At 41.0% G+C, this 16,067-nt stretch overlaps 1 protein-coding gene across 4 annotated transcripts in view; it reads left to right on the top strand.

The window, feature by feature from the left end:
- Positions 1-16,067, top strand: part of ELOVL2 (ELOVL fatty acid elongase 2) — a 63,547-nt gene that overhangs the window by 32,783 nt on the left and 14,697 nt on the right. For 3 of the 4 annotated variants that reach the window (NM_017770.4, XM_011514717.4, XM_011514716.4), the window contains exons 2-4: positions 714-777; positions 5,964-6,151; positions 11,359-11,436. In NM_017770.4, the coding sequence (NP_060240.3) occupies positions 714-777; positions 5,964-6,151; positions 11,359-11,436 (330 nt within the window). Of the gene's footprint in view, positions 1-713; positions 778-5,963; positions 6,152-11,358; positions 11,437-12,671; positions 14,260-16,067 lie in introns of those variants that run through there. The other variant, XM_017010985.2, reaches the window with a different exon arrangement.

Genomic DNA, 16,067 nt, shown 5'->3' with positions numbered 1-16,067 from the left:
ATATATTTTGTGGAAACAGATGTTCTCTATTGCCTACCCACAACTGTTATTGTAACAAGGGAAGTTGCTTATGGAACAGCTTTGCCTATAAGCATTTTAGAGGTAAATGGAATTTAGGTCAATAACCCTTCAATGTTTTTTTTTCTTTTTTTTTTTTGAGACAGAGTCTCACTCTGTCGCCCAGGCTGGTGTGAGGTGGCGTGATCTCGGCTCACTGCAAGCTCTGCCTCTCGGGTTCACGCCATTCTTCTGCCTCAGCCTCCTGAGTAGCTGGGACTACAGGTGCCTGCCACCATGCCTGGCTAATTTTTTTTGTATTTTTAGTAGAGATGGGGTTTCACCATGTTAGCCAGGATGGTCTCGATCTCCTGACCTCGTGATCCGCCTGCCTCAGCCTCCCAAAGTGCTGCGATTACAGGTGTGAGACACCGCGCCTGGCCAACCCTTCAATGTTTAAATGCACCAAGTCTGTTCTCTAGGACTCCTCTTGCCTAAGGAAATAAGAGGAATTGTTTCCTTCCAAATCTTTATAGGCTTGTGAAAGGTGAGGATGCATTTACTGTCCTCTTTCCTTAAGTCTTTGCAGTCAAAAGTCCTTGAAGCTGGGACCCTTTGAAAGTCTGTCAGTTACATGTTGTTGGTAGTGGCTTGTTTTGACCGTTTCAAAAAAAGAAGAAAAAAACACTTAAATCATTTTTTCTTTCTCTTTTTAGGAACATCTAAAGGCCTTTGATGATGAAATCAATGCTTTTTTGGACAATATGTTTGGACCGCGAGGTCAGTGAATTACTTGAGAACTTAATGTGGAAGGAACACAGGAAGAACACCATTTAGTTATAGAAAGGGATTATGTTATTTCTGGTGTCTTGGAAATAGTAAGGTACTTAATATTTAGAAACTTAACTTCCTCAACTTTGATATCCTTCCAGAATGTCCAGAAGATCCCATTTCTCCTACTGCTTAACCTCTCCTGGGATTAAAGAAGTTCTGGGAGCAGGAAGCAGAGATAGAGTGAAATGCAATGCTTTCCTCCAGTGTCTGTCTGGCTACAAAGCCGGGTTGTAACTTTCCTTCTAAAGGATGCTGCTTTCTTGTTTCCTCTCCACTGCCCATTCATCTTCCACCTTTCTTACATCCTAGTTATATGTGACATTTCTGCCCTTAGATGCCTTGATAAATTCCCTTTAAAGATGTGTGCGCTGGCTGGGTGTGGAGGCTCATGCCTGTAATCCCAGCACTTTGGGAGGCTGAGGTGGGCGGATCATGAGGTCAGGAGTTCAAGACCAGCCTGACCAACATGGTGAAACCCCGTCTCTACTAAAATTACAAAAATTAGCCAGGCGTAGTGGCTTATGCCTGTAATCCTAGCTACTCAGGAGGCTGAGGCAGGAGAATCACTTGAACCCAGGAGGCAGAGTTTGCAGTGAGCCAAGATCGCGCCACTACACTCCATCCTGGGCAACAGAGTGAGACTCTGTCTCAAAAAAAAAAAAAAAAAAGATGTGTGCGCTTTCTCTGCCCGGGGCCCGTAGGTAGGATGAGCTTAGACATCTCTCCATCTTTCCTTCATCACCAGTCGCTTACTGTACTGCAGTGGCCTCCTAACAGGCCTCCCCTCTTCCACTCTTGCCCCTTCCAGTCATTTATTCAGTGTCAGCTGGAATGACATTCTAAAGACCTAAGTCATATTGCATGGCACTGTAGCTTAAAACTCATCAGTGTCATCCCACTGCTCTCAGGTAAAAACCAAACTTCTTATCATGGACTGCGCACCCTTGGGCTGTCTAACCCCAGCAACCTCTCCAACTCAGTCAGTATCCGTCGTCCTCACTGGCTTTCATACAGCTGCTCAAGCCATCTTTTAATTCTGCAAATATGTAAAATTCTTTTACGTGCTATTCCCTGAGCCTGGAATTCCTTCCTAGGATCTCCTACCCCTCCCTCCAGATGAGTCAGTTCCTGTCACACTTGAGGTGTCAGCTTAAACGTTGCCTTTTCAGTTGGGCTTTGCCTCTCTAAGGTACAGTAGTCCCCCCTTAGCAGCAGTTTCGCTTTCTGCAGTTCCAGTTACCCGTGGTCAACCATGGTCCAAAAATAGGGGAGCACAATACAGTAAGATATTTTCAGATAGAGAGATGACCACATTCACATAACTTTTATTATAGTATATTGTTATAATCTCTTACTATGCCTAATTTATAAATTTTCCATAGGTGTATATGTACAGGAAAAAGCATGGTACCTACAGGGTTTGGGAGTATCTGCAGGCTCAGGCATCCAGAGGGGTCTGCTGTGGTCCCTCATCATTCTGTTTCAACCCTTGTTTACTTCCTTCAGATACTTCATTGTTACCAACAGCGATTTCTCCCAGAAGGGCAGGAACCCTGGCTGTTTTACTCACCATTTATCTCCAGGGTTTATTACAGTTCTGGGAACATATTCAGCACTGTATATTTTCCAAATAAATGAATGAATTCTAGACAGAAGGTTTCATTTTACTTGAGCCTTATTGGCTCACAGAACTGTGAAAAGTCCTTAGTTCTCTACAAGTTATTTCCTCAGCCCTATTGGAGGAGTGAGAGAGCAAGGAATGAGGAGGTTTTCCTGTTTCTCAAGATCTTTAAACAATCACTTGAGTATTTAGGCCATTCTCCATTTTCTCCATGGGCTCTATTAACTGTTCTAAATGCATGACTATATAGTTTTAATATAATGATACTGATTCTATACAGCTTTGAAAAAATCCTTTCACATAGGTTTTTTTGCTTTTTCCATTTAACCTCCTGATGACTCTGTGGGGTAGGCAGGGCAGAATATCTTTATCTTCTAACCTACTTTTACTATGTTCTCTCCCTTACAGTTCTAGTGGGTAGAAAGGAGAACAGCTCAGTGTAGAGGGCATGACCCTCTCCCTTAGGCATGCAGGACCCGGGACCCCTCCCTTAGGCATGCAGGACCCAGAGCCCCCTCCCTTAGTTAGGCATGCAGGACCCGGAGCCCCCTCTCTTAGTTAGGCATGCAGGCCCCGGGGGCACTCTCGCTTAGGCATGCAAGATCCAGGAGGAAGTATGATTTGTTGGTGACAGTGGTTTTCTGTTTGACACTTCGACTAGACAGTTAAACAACAACTTGTCTGCGCCAAGTTCACTGAGCTTTGCTGCCAGTAAGATTGGCGTGATCTGGAATTATGTGGATGTGGGATCAATTGAGGAAAGGATTACAGTTGTTTACTCTGCATTGGTCATTTTATGGAATTTTCCTTTGTAGCAAGGAGATTGTAAAATTGACAGTTGACAGTGGAATCAGATGAGCTCCACACTGACAAGGTGTCTAGCATGTAAGCCATCAGGAATCCTTTTTTCTTCCTAAAAGTCTCACACCCTGATGCTGACTGGCACATCACCGAATAAACCTCTCGGTGTCTCCTAGCCTCTTCTGATTTTGCCCACACCATGTTAGTACCATCAAGGGGTATTGTTCTGAGCAAATACTGACTCAGAGGAAGAGCTAACACTTCTCAAGTCCCAAAGATAAGAAAGTTTATTACAAGCATTTGTTCCTATCTTTTGGCTAAAACAACTATGATTATCCTTAACAACTGTAGCAAACATTTACAGCACTGTGACAAAAGAAAACAAAAACCTCAGGTGCTATATTAGTTTGCAGTATGTGCTTGACTCAATGTGCCAATGGATATGCATTTAATGAATGTTTCCTCTTAACTCAGCACTACGTGGGTATGAGTCAGACAGAGTAGAGATATAAGACCTAGTGGCTGTCTCCTGGAGCATGTACTATAGTTGGGGAGGTAAAGCCAGCACATCTGAAACTACTGGAAATCAATTAAATACTAAACCATGTGTGTTTGTTTCCTAGGCTGCCATAAAAAGTGCCACAAACTGGGTGGCTTAAATAGCAGAAATGTATTCTTTCACAATTCTGGAGGCCAACAGTCTGAAATCAAGGTGTCAGCAGAGCCTTGTTCCCTCTGAGGTTCTAGGGAAGATTCTGTACCATGACTCCCCGTAGTTTCTGGTGGTTGGTGGCAATCTCTGGTGTTCCTTAGCTTGGAGATGCATCACTCCAATCTCTGCCTCCCTCTTCACATGGCCGTCTTCTCTTTTGTCCTTGTATTCAGACCTCTCCTTCTTATAAGGACACTAGTCATTGGCTTAGGGCCCACCCTAATCCAGTATAACCTCATCTTAGCTATATTATATCTGCAAAGACTCTATTTTCAAATAATGTCACATTCACAGATACCAGGAGTTAGGACTTGAAGGCATCTTCGTGGGGGACACAATTCAGTCTAACACCATAACAAGAAGTAGCGTAGCAGTTTAGTGCAAGTCATTTCACTTTTCTAGGCCTCTACAGCTCAATTTTTCTTAAGGGTAAACTGGGATGATATTATCACCTATATAATGGGATTGCTTTGAGAATCAAATAAGTTAATACATGTAAAAGCCTTCAGAATAGTGCCTGGCACAGAATAAGTGCTCAGTAAATGTTATAGTAACAGTATCATAGCCATAATAATATGTGAATTAGAAAATGATAATAATTGTCTTGCTATGCATATGAGGAGCTATAAATATGAAAACACAGTAGGAAATGTCTCCCTTCAGAAGTCAGGACCTTTATCTGGGCATTAAAAGATGAGTAGGGTTCAGATATGGAGATGGACATTAGGAAGTGACACACAGCACAGACTTATGACAGGTGATTGCAAGCCTGCTGTATGAAAGGTGGTATCTGTTAGTCACATGAATGCTGAGAAGAGCTTTCTAACCTTTTTATCTCTATCACCAATGGGAGATATTTATAAAATAAGTGATGGGACAGTCAGAGCTTCAGAAGGCACTTGCCTTGTAGAAATGGTACTCTGTAGGGCGGGTGGTTTAACAAGAGGCTGGGGTATACAGGGTAGGATGCACCAGAAAGGGACTTAGAAAACAAAAAATTCAAGAAAAGGCCATTGCCTGTTGGTGAAACCAGCTCACTACAACTCCATTTGTGGAGGTTAAAAGCAGCATGCAATTTTTATAATTCTGGGCCAAATCATTTTCTTTATTTAAACAAACAAAAAGAGCAGAATAGAGAACACAAATCATTTAGTGTCTACAATGATTTTCAGGTGTTACTAATTATATTGTAGCTCTATCATGTGGGTTTCATTTAGGCTTTTAAATATTCACTCTGCAGTGTAAGGGGCCCTGATGTATTCAGCTGCTTGCCTCCCTGCTGTGTAAACGTCCAGTCCCATGGCCAGATCTGGGTCCTCAGTTCTGAATCACAGCTCCCAGGCTTTGCCTCTGCTGTCTGCAGCCTCCAGGCTTGCTGCACGGTCATCCTATTGCTTTCTCTGAACCAGCTGAACTCTAAACCCCTTCCATTACTGATACTAGGCAAATTCGGAGCTGTGTGGGCTTTAGGAATTAGGATACAGTATCGATATGCCTTCTTTCCTCTGACTGCTCTGATCTTCTCCATGGGAGGACAGCTGCAAGGTATCATGGGGCTGGGAGGCAGATGTGACTGGTTCAAATCCTGACTGTACTGCCGACTATGATGTAGCCTTTTGAAAGTTACTAAAGCTTTCTGAGCTGTTTTTTTTTCCATCCATAAAATTGCATAATAGTACTTACTTCATATTAATTTAGAGTAAATAAATGCAGTAACTGTTCCAAAATAGGCATTCAAGAACTGTCACTTCACACCTTTACTTCTTGTCCCTTTCATTCAGTGTTCAGCCTAAGCCCTGTTTGCTCCATGAAACCTTTACCGATTCAGCCCACAGGCTTCCTCTTCCCCTGAACTCTAAACCCAGGCCAGCCTACCTAATGTTGTATGGAGTTGTTCCCTGTTGTGCTGGTGTGTACAAATGCAATGTATGTGACAATACTGATGACTAAACAGGAGCATCATTCCTCAGGATCCTCACTGTATGTGTTTCTTTTCAGATTCTCGAGTCAGAGGGTGGTTCATGTTGGACTCTTACCTTCCTACCTTTTTTCTTACTGTCATGTATCTGCTCTCAATATGGCTGGGTAACAAGTATATGAAGAACAGACCTGCTCTTTCTCTCAGGGGTATCCTCACCTTGTATAATCTTGGAATCACACTTCTCTCCGCGTACATGCTGGCAGAGGTAAGTGTTTATGTAGCCAAAGCTGAAGTCCAGTAACTAGCAGTTTTTATTAACAGAAACAACCACATCTAGCCTGGCAGAACTATGCAAGGTTACTTTAAGACCTAAAAACTTATTCCAGCATTTGATATTATTCTTTCTGAAAATCCTGGAAGTCCTTGTTTATAACTTGAATCTTTCTATCCCAATTTAGACCTATTTCTTTTTTTTTTTGAGATGGAGTCTCGCTCTATCATCCAGCCTGGAGGGCAATGGCACAATCTCAGCTCACTGCAGCCTCCGCCTCCCAGGTTCAAGCGATTCTCGTGCCTCAGCCTCCTGAATAGCTGGGATTACAGGTACTCCCCACCATGCCCGGCTACTTTTTGTAATTTTAGTACAGACAGGGTTTCACTGTGTTGCCCAGGCTGGTCTTGAACTCCTGATCTCAGGTGATCCTCCTGTCTTGGCCTCCCAAAGTGCTGGGAGTACAGGTGTGAGCCACTGCGCCTGGCCTAGACCTATTTCTTTAGTCTCTAGTCTAATTATAATTTAGATTCACAATGTAGATCAAATGGGCCTTTCAAGATCATGTTACAATTTTCTCCTTTTACAGATTAGGATACTGAGGCTTAGAAAAGTTTCATAATTTGCCTGAGAGTAGACAGTGATTAACCGAGTATTTTAAAAATTAACTTAAACATCATATGCAGTTAGTTTGACTGAAATGCCAATATATATATTCCCTTAAAGAATACTCTGTATGTCTTTGGAACACTGACGTTTTAGCTCAGCTCTAGTGGCCCTTTGTTACATCCTGTGCTCCAAATTCCTCTGTGAAGCACCAAACCAAGGTCATTTTACAGGAGAAGGAACAAGGATGATTGCCCCATCTGTACAACCAAGGTTATTTTAATGTAAAGGAAGGGGAAATCTAAAAGTGTTAAATAACTTGCTGTAGAAAAAAAAAAAAAAAGAGGGACAAAGAGAACAAAAACAAAAATTTTTAGTGATTTTATAGCTTGTATAAAATCATTCATACAAGCTATAAGCGGTGGATAATGGCACAAATATAGCTGCCTTTCTGGTGATCTTGAGTTCTAAAAGAAAACAAATCCTTGCCTTAAAATGAAAGTTCTCTTGAGAGTTTATTCTATGCATTATTCTAATATGTACCATTCTTAATAACTATTAATATTACCATAAATGACTGGAATGAAGCTCTCATAATGGAATTTTAGGCATCAGTCAGTATAGGAGATGGAATTTTGGGGTCAAAAAAGCCATGCTGACAACTTTTTTTTTTTTTTGAGGCAGAGTCTTGCTGTGTCACCCAGGCTGGAGTGCAATGGCGCAATCTCAGCTCACTGCAACCTCCACCTCCTGGGTTCAAGCAATTGTCTTGCCTCAGCCTCACGAGTGGCTGGGATTACAGGCACCCACCACCAATCCTGGCTAATTTTTTTTTTTTTTAGTAGAGATGGGGATTCACCATGTTGGTTAGGCTGGTCTCGAACTCCTGACCTCAGGTGATCCACCCGCCTCGGCCTCCCAGAGTGCTGGGATTACAGGCGTGAGCCGCCACCCCCAGCTGACAACTCTTAAAATTATATCACATAGGTGCTCACGAATCTACTTGACACTGAAAGGACCATTTTTATTTTAGGTTCTCTACTAGCTGAATTTTAGCTCCCTAGATGAGTTAGCAAGATAGTAATTTATGGGATTCGTTTCTCTATATAGCAGAAGGCAAGATACTCTTGGATTGTTTTCCATAAGTGACAGCTGCACACTATTTACAATAGCAAAGACTTGGAACCAACCCAAACGCCCATCAATGATAGACTGGATAAAGAAAATGTGGCACATATACACCATGGAATACTATGCAGCCATAAAAAAGAATGAGATTCATGTCCTTTGCAGGGACATAGATGAAACTGGAAGCCATCATTCTCAGCAAACTAACACAGGAACAGAAAACCAAACACCACATGTTCTCACTTATAAGTGGGAGTTGAACAATGAGAACACATGGACACAGGGAGGGGAACATCACACGCCCGGGCCTGTCGGGGGGTGGGGAGCAAGGGTAGGGAGAGCACTGGGACAAATACCTAATGCATGTGGGGCTTAAAACCTAGATGAGGGGTTGATAGGTGCAGCAAACCACCATGGCACTTGTATACCTATGTAACAAACCTGCACATTCTGCACATGTATCCCAGAATTTAAAGTAAAATAAAAAAGAAGTGACAGCAGCAGCAGAAGGGCCAGCCTGCATGTCCAACCACACCAGCAGTTCTAGTACCTGTTTGGGTGGAGCTTTGGTGTAATGGAGTCAGAAGATACAAGTTTGTTTTAGCTCTGTCACTTTCTGTGTAATTTTACAGCAGTTTAACTTAGACTTTCCAAACCTTAGGCAACTTATCTATAAGGCAGAGATACAATATTTCTCCTATATAACTCTTGAGTGACTTGTAAGGATTGATGACTTCTGTTCAATCAGCATGTAGTGAGCTTTTCCTAGGCACTGAATAGGAAGCCCTGAAGGTATAAGATGGATAAGACACAGCTTCTACACTTGAAGAGCCTATGGACTAGTACAGGGTAGGAGTTGGTAAATGTGAAAATGCTTTGTGAATTGTAAAGTGCTAGTTGAACAGTAGTCACCATCAACAGGAGCAAGAACAACCGTTTAGTTGTTGAACAACGAGGTAAATGTCTTCTTTCTAGGAAGAACGTATCTGCACTGAGCCCATTGCCTACCACTGATTTTATCTACTGCTTACCCACTCTTTCTCTTAAACTTTGTATAGGTGTAAAATCACTTAGTTCAGTTCAAAATCACTACCATTGATTGCCACCCAGTCTCCTCTCTTTGATTGTGACCTCTTTCAGAGCAGGCAAAAGGTCTTCTTTGACACTCTGGGGGTATGTTTAATAGATACTAGTCAGGTGACACACTGATTTAACCTTGCTAACTTGTTAGGGGTCAGCAGATGTTTGCTTAAGCCAGAAAATCACCGCAATAATTATTAACAGTCTTTCAACAAATATGTATTGAGTTCCCACACTGTCAGATTCGACTGTAGATTCTAGAACACAACCTTTGCCCTGTAAGAAAGAGTGAGAGGCTGGTGATGGGGCAGCCTCTGAAAAGGTGACATTGGAGTTGAGACTGAATGACACAGTGGACAGAGGATCAGTGGTTCAAGATGAGGTGGAGAGATGGCAGATGACATTGGGCCCTTGGAAGGAATTTGGCTTGCACTCTAAGTGTAATGGAAAGCTATTGGAGGATTTTAATGACGGGAGTGCTATTATCTCCCTCTTAAAATAGATCACTCTAGCTCCTACATAGAAAATGGACCATGAGGGTGAGTTGGCAAGAATGTTAGCAAAAGTCCAGTTAGGAGATCATTGCAGTACTACAGGCAACAGATGTTAACATCTTGGATTAAGGTGGTGAAGATGGGAAGAAGCTGGTGGATTCTAAGTATATTTTGAAGTGATTTAGTCCACACCTCCTTACACCTAACCCTATTTGACAGCCTTGCTTCCTTTTCTTCAACACATAGGTTGGATGACTCCTACACCAGTAAGGGGATTAAGAATGGTCCAGGGAGAGACAGAGCCTCTCTAGCTTGGCTGCCTATTCATAATTGTCAGGTAGTTCTGCACAGATGCCACAGGAATGGGGACAGCCCGGATAAATCTAACTAAAGCAGGAAACATGGGGAAACAGAATATGCCCTGTCCTCTCCACAGTCAGGAGTTACTCTATAACTGTATTAATTGCGGAGTAGAGATTAGAGCCCCTTACTACAGAACTACAACCTGACCATAGAGGTTTTTAATTAATCCTTGTACACAAAGTTAAACAGCTTTCTTAGTTTGAAAAAATGCACGAACACACCAAAATTTATATGTAGTTTAAGGTCTTTCTGGGTCCTCTCTAGCCAGTCGCTGATTCCCAGTTGAGAACTAAGAGCATAAATCCCCTGGGAGATACTGGGAAATGACCTGATTTGTAGTAGATCCCATTCAGGAAAACCCAAGGTTTTCTTCTTTCACTGGACTTATTTATATTGATAATCTTTAATTAGCATGATGTTAACAGAAAGGGTTTTTGTTAGAAGGAAAGAGAGGTATATCAGGACAGTGAAGAAGTCTCACAAAGGTTCTAAAACATTCTAAATGTTATTTAGTAATCTCTCTCTCTCTAACAATTAATTAACATCCAAACCCTCTCAGCTGTGTATATGTATTTTAATGGATATTGTGTATGAATTTTATACATCTCTAAGGCAGCAGAAAATATTAAATCGTAGGCCTTTCGCCTGTAATACCTGATCCAAATCAATCCCAAATGCCTTATATTCTAGAATTTTAACTTTTTACAGGGAGAAAACTTCTTTCATAGCATTTTCAACAAAGAATAAAAAAGCTCATTTTCTCATGAGGTGGAAAGTACACCAAACAATGAATTAGGAAGTCTGAATTCTAATCATCCTTCTACCACTTTCTAGTCATGTAATCTTGAGCAAATCATACACTCATCAAATGTTTACTGAACACTTACCATGTAGCAGGTACTAGGCAAGGAACTGTAGATACAAAGATGAGCAAAAACAGATGCATAAATTTTTTGGAGCTTGTTGGTTTTTGAGAGTAATGGGGAAGACAGACATTAATCAATTAACCACCAAATTGTTTGATTACCAAGTAGCATAAATACAGTGAAGAAAATGGTTTAAGAACCTTACTGAACCCTGTTTTTAATATCTGTAAAATGGCAATATATGTATTTTTAAAAATTATTGAGATGATTAAATATATTTAAACCAATACAAAATATTAAACTTTTACTGTAGTTTTCTCACAGTTGTTTTCAACTAATTCTACATTACACTTGTAGAAACATGACTAGGTAATTCCTTACATAAAATTTTGTGAATCAAATGATAGTTAAAATCTGTTATTTTGGCCAATGTAGTTAGAGGTAACATATGTTAATTAAGGAAATAGCCATTGATTTCAGTTCAACAGCAGGAAATAAGTCCCCTGATAATAGGTGTTTGAGGATAGGATTGAGACAAACTCAAATTCTGGGAAATTCCTACTCAAACCTTGAACAGATGCCAGAGACATGAATGGGAAATTCAGTCTGTATCCAAATTCTTGTGCTGATGTTTGTTTTTCTTTCTTTCTTGGTTCTTTGGCAGCTCATTCTCTCCACTTGGGAAGGAGGCTACAACTTACAGTGTCAAGATCTTACCAGCGCAGGGGAAGCTGACATCCGGGTGAGCCACTAGAAGCAAATCAACCAACTATAACCAGTTCCCATTGACAAGGAGAGGAGGTTTTCTCCTTCCAGATAGAGGGCTGAGGCTAGAATTAGATAAGAAAGGGGTTCCTGTTCTAATAGAAATGCTTGGTAACAAAGATGATTTCCAACTATCCCTCTATAGAGGACCAACTGAATAAACCACAGCACATCCACGTAGCAGATGCCTCTACCAAGTGGAGTGAGGAAGAGCTCTATACCGCTACAGAATTGTCTCTGGGATATAGTTACATGAACAAAAGCAACTTGCAGACCGTGTTTATAGGATAGCACCCTTTGTGCAATAAATGATATGAATGTGTATGTGTATTTGCTTATATTTTTAAAAAGAAACGAGAGGATAAACTAAAAGCTAATAAAAAGTGTTTCTGCCGGGCATGGTGGCTCACGCCTGTAATCCCAGCACTTTGGGAGGCTGAGGTGGGTGGATCACGAGGTCAGGAGTTCGAGACCAGCCTGGCCAACATAGTGAAACCCCGTCTCTACTAAAAATACAAAAATTAGCCAGGCATGGTGGTGGGCACCTGTAGTCCCAGCTACTCAGGAGACTGAGCCAGGAGAATCGCTTGAACCCGGGAGGCGGAGGTTGTGGTGAGCCGAGATTGTGTCACTGCACTCCAGCCTGAGCAACACAGCAAGACTCCATCTAAAAAAAAAAAAAAGCATTTCCTTTGAGGGGAGGGAACAGGGCAGAGGGGATACAGGAGAAGCCAGAATTCTCTGAATGTACCTTGTGCTATATTTGATTTTGGAACCACTGAGTGCTTTACATAATTATAAAACAAAATTAAATTTAAAAAGAAAGCAAGGCAGCCGCCCCCTAAAAGTTGGAAACAAACTTAAATAAATGAATATACCTATATATTAAGTTGGTGACATAATCACCCAAGGAACTATTTCAAGTGACTTTAAAACAGTTTTTTGACTGAACGCCCCTAGTGAGATATATCTTAATAGTATTCAGTAATTTTTTTATTGTTAATAACATCGGTATTGCTTTTTTGACACTGTGATAGTACACTATGGGATAAATTAAGTGTATAATAATGTTAATATCTGTAGGCACTTCGATTTGAAACATGGAAAAAAAGAGATACCAATAAAAAAGTTAAACTAAAACTCATTAATGATAGATTCAAATTGGAAATATCAGAATTAACTTTATTTGTTTTTAAAAATTTTAATTTTCAGCTCTGTCTACAGAAAAGGCCTAGTCTATGACAACCCAGTACAACGAGCAGTGATTACCTAGATTGTGCTCTCTAAATAGAATTTTCTCCAGAAAAGATTAGGTTTCTTAGATAATGGGCCTCTTCCTGGTTTGGGGCAGGAAATGTTTATAAGATGAACCCAGGATATCTATGAGAAAGCGAAGCAGCTATCCAGGACTACAAGGATCATCACAAAAAGAGGATTTGCCTGGAAGGGACCCCACTGCCTAAAAATGGAGCAGGTTGAACATCAAAAAGAATACTGACTGGAATTAACTGAAACATTAAATATGTAAAAAACTGTGAGTTTAAAATGATACTGATTGTAAAAGCTCTTATTGTTACCTTTTGAAGGTTGTTAGAGCACCAATTCATTTTAGGAAAAAAAAATTAGAGGGAAAGAATTAAACATTTATCTTGCCTTTCATATGTGAATTTCCAAATCGATGAAAAGGGAAAGTTCTTCTCTAGAGAAAAGAAAAATGCTTAGGTAACAATTAGAAAAATCACCATTTTGCAACTCCTAGTGAAATAATGGATCGTATTAGTTTGTTTTGCATTGCTATAAAGGAATACCTGAGGCTGGGTAATTTATAGAGTTTCATTTTGGCTCATGGTACTGCAGGCTGTACAGAAAGCATGGTGCTGGTATCTACTTCTGATGAGGCCCTCAAGAAGCCTATAATCATGGTGGAAGGTGAAGGGGGAGCAGGCATGTCACATGGCAAGAGAGGGAGCAAGGCACAAGGAGGTCCCAGACTCTTTCAAACAATTAGATCTTACAGTAACTCACCACAGGAGGGGCACCAAGCCATTCATGAGGGATCTGCCACCGTGACCCAAACAAACACCTCCCACCAAGGCCCCACCTCCGACATTGGGGATGACATTTCAACATGAGATTTGGAGGGGACAAACATCTAAACTATATCATGGATCTGACAGCAATCACCTGTGGATGGTAAAACTATTCGGTGAAAATTGAATAGAAACTTCATAATGACGACTCAATACCTGAACTCACTGTTCAGTTTGAGTATCAGTGGAACAGCCGGAAATTACGTACCTCCTGATGTGAGGCAGTAGGAAGTAGACAGAACCCTCTGAAGTATTCGTACCAAAAACATTACACCTGAGTCTAATCAAGCCTGTAAATCTAATTGCCAGTAACAAAACGCATGTGTAGAGAAACAAATGATACTACGAAACAATCATACAAACCTATAATATTAGAAATTCTTCATAAAGGATCTAGTTTTTCTAAGAAATAAAAGACATGAAAGAATGGGAGGAGCAAAGAGAACTGTTATTGGTTAGAAGAGACTTAAAAACCATTTCAAACCAATGGAAGATGGACCTTCTTTGGATCGTGATTTAAACTAATTATAAAAAGACATTCTGGAGGCTAGGAAAACAACGACATTTTTGAGACCGAGAAATTTGAACATGGATTGGGCCATTAGAAGATACTAAAGAATTGTTAATGTTGATAGACAACAGAATGACTTCATGGTTATGTTAAAAAGTCTCCCTATCAGAAGGATTTATAAATAAAGTGATACCTGAGATTTGCTTATAATATTCTATACTTCCCACTCCCCTGCCCCCCAAAATGGTGGGAAGTGGAATTGATAAATACTAGATTGGAATCATATTGAAAATTCTGAATTTCGGCATTGGATGCTGAGTGTTCATTTGACTTATTCTCCTTGCATTAGTGAATGTTTGAAATTTTCTATAACTAAACATGACATATTATTAAGACAGATGGTAAAAACCATTTAACTAAAATCTTTTAATATCAAGATGGACCTTTTTTTTGAGACAGAGTTTCACTCTTGTTGCCCAGGCTGGAGTGCAGTGGTGCCATCTCGGCTCAGTGCAACCTCTGCCTCCTGGGTTCAAGCGATTCTTCTGCCTCAGCCTCCCGATTAGCTAGGATTACAGGCACCCGCCACCACACCTGGCTAATTTTTGTATTTTTAATAGAGACGGGGTTTCACCATGTTAACCAGGCTGGTCTTGAACTCCTGACCTCAGGTGATCCACCTGCCTCGGCCTCCCTACCTCAGGTGATGCACCTGCCTCAGCCTCCCAAAGTGCTGGGATTACAGGCGTGAGCCTCCACGCCCAGTCAAGATGGATTTTTTTTTTTTTCTTTTTTGAGGCAGAGTCTCACTCTCCCCCAGGCCGGAGTGCAGTGGCGTGATCTCGGTTCACTGCAAGCTCCGCCTCCTGGGTTCACACCATTCTCCTGCCTCAGCCTCCTGAGTAGCTGGGACTACAGGTGCCCACCACCACACCCAACTAATTTTTTTGTATTTTTAGTGGAGATGAGGTTTCACCTTGTTAGCCAGGATGGTCTTTAACTCCTGACCTCGTGATCCACCCACCTCGGCCTCCCAAAGTGGGACATTTTAAAAACGTCTTCAAAACTGCAATACAAATAAAGTAAGATATAGTGATTTCTCTGCACCCATTTTATTTCTAATGCATTACCACAAACCAGTGCATACCATACAGTTCTCTAAAGGTTGTTTTATATTTATTTGTAGTTTAATATTTCTAAAGGTTAATTATCTCATCAGACATTAAGACGGTTGCGGCCGTACCTTATGATGGTCTTCTTGGGAAGTAGACAGTAGAGCATGATATTTTAATTTCAAGATTCCTATTATGCAATGTCTTTAAAAATATCTTATGTTTAATGTTAGTGGTAAAAACACAGTGCCTTTAACTAAAGAAATGTCTCCCTATAGATGAGACTGACTTGAGGGCCTTAGGAGGGAAAGGATGTGTTATCATGACCTCCCACCATTAGCAAGGATGAATAACATCTTGATTTTTAATCTAGTCATCTGAGGAAAAGACACAAAAGATGTAGCCATAGACTGCCCTTGGACAGTCTAAGAGACAAAAAACATATATACTTTAGAAGAGCAGAGGAAAGTTATAATTTAATGTAACAAATAATAATGACCTCCTGTTGAGTTCTAGGCCCTGAGCAAATGTGAGTGACAGTTTCTGCCTTTGAGTGATTTGCAATCTATTGATAGATTCGTAACACTAGCTACACCCTATTATGTCTATTGATTATGGAGCCACAGTTAAAGTAATTTGAATACAAATGAAGCAGCAGTTCAGCCTGAAAAAGGAAAGGGCTGGGTGAAGTTCCAGAGAAAAGGTGGCATTTAAGAGGAATATTAAAGAATATGCCAGACCTGAAGTAGGAAAGGAGTGCTGGGAGCAGAGAGAAGAGTTTTCATGGCTGGAGGAGGAGTAAGCAGGCCACTGTTCCAGCACACAGGACACCGTGGTGGGGAGCTTGCAGGAGGCTGGTGGAAACAGCAGCCACCCAAGCCCATGGGAGATCCTG

This window comes from Homo sapiens, chromosome 6 (genome assembly GCF_000001405.40).
Source record: "Homo sapiens chromosome 6, GRCh38.p14 Primary Assembly".
In the NCBI taxonomy this organism is placed as follows: Eukaryota; Metazoa; Chordata; class Mammalia; order Primates; family Hominidae; genus Homo; species Homo sapiens.
Note: the sequence above shows the minus strand (reverse complement) of the source record. Positions and strands in the feature narration are given on the sequence as shown.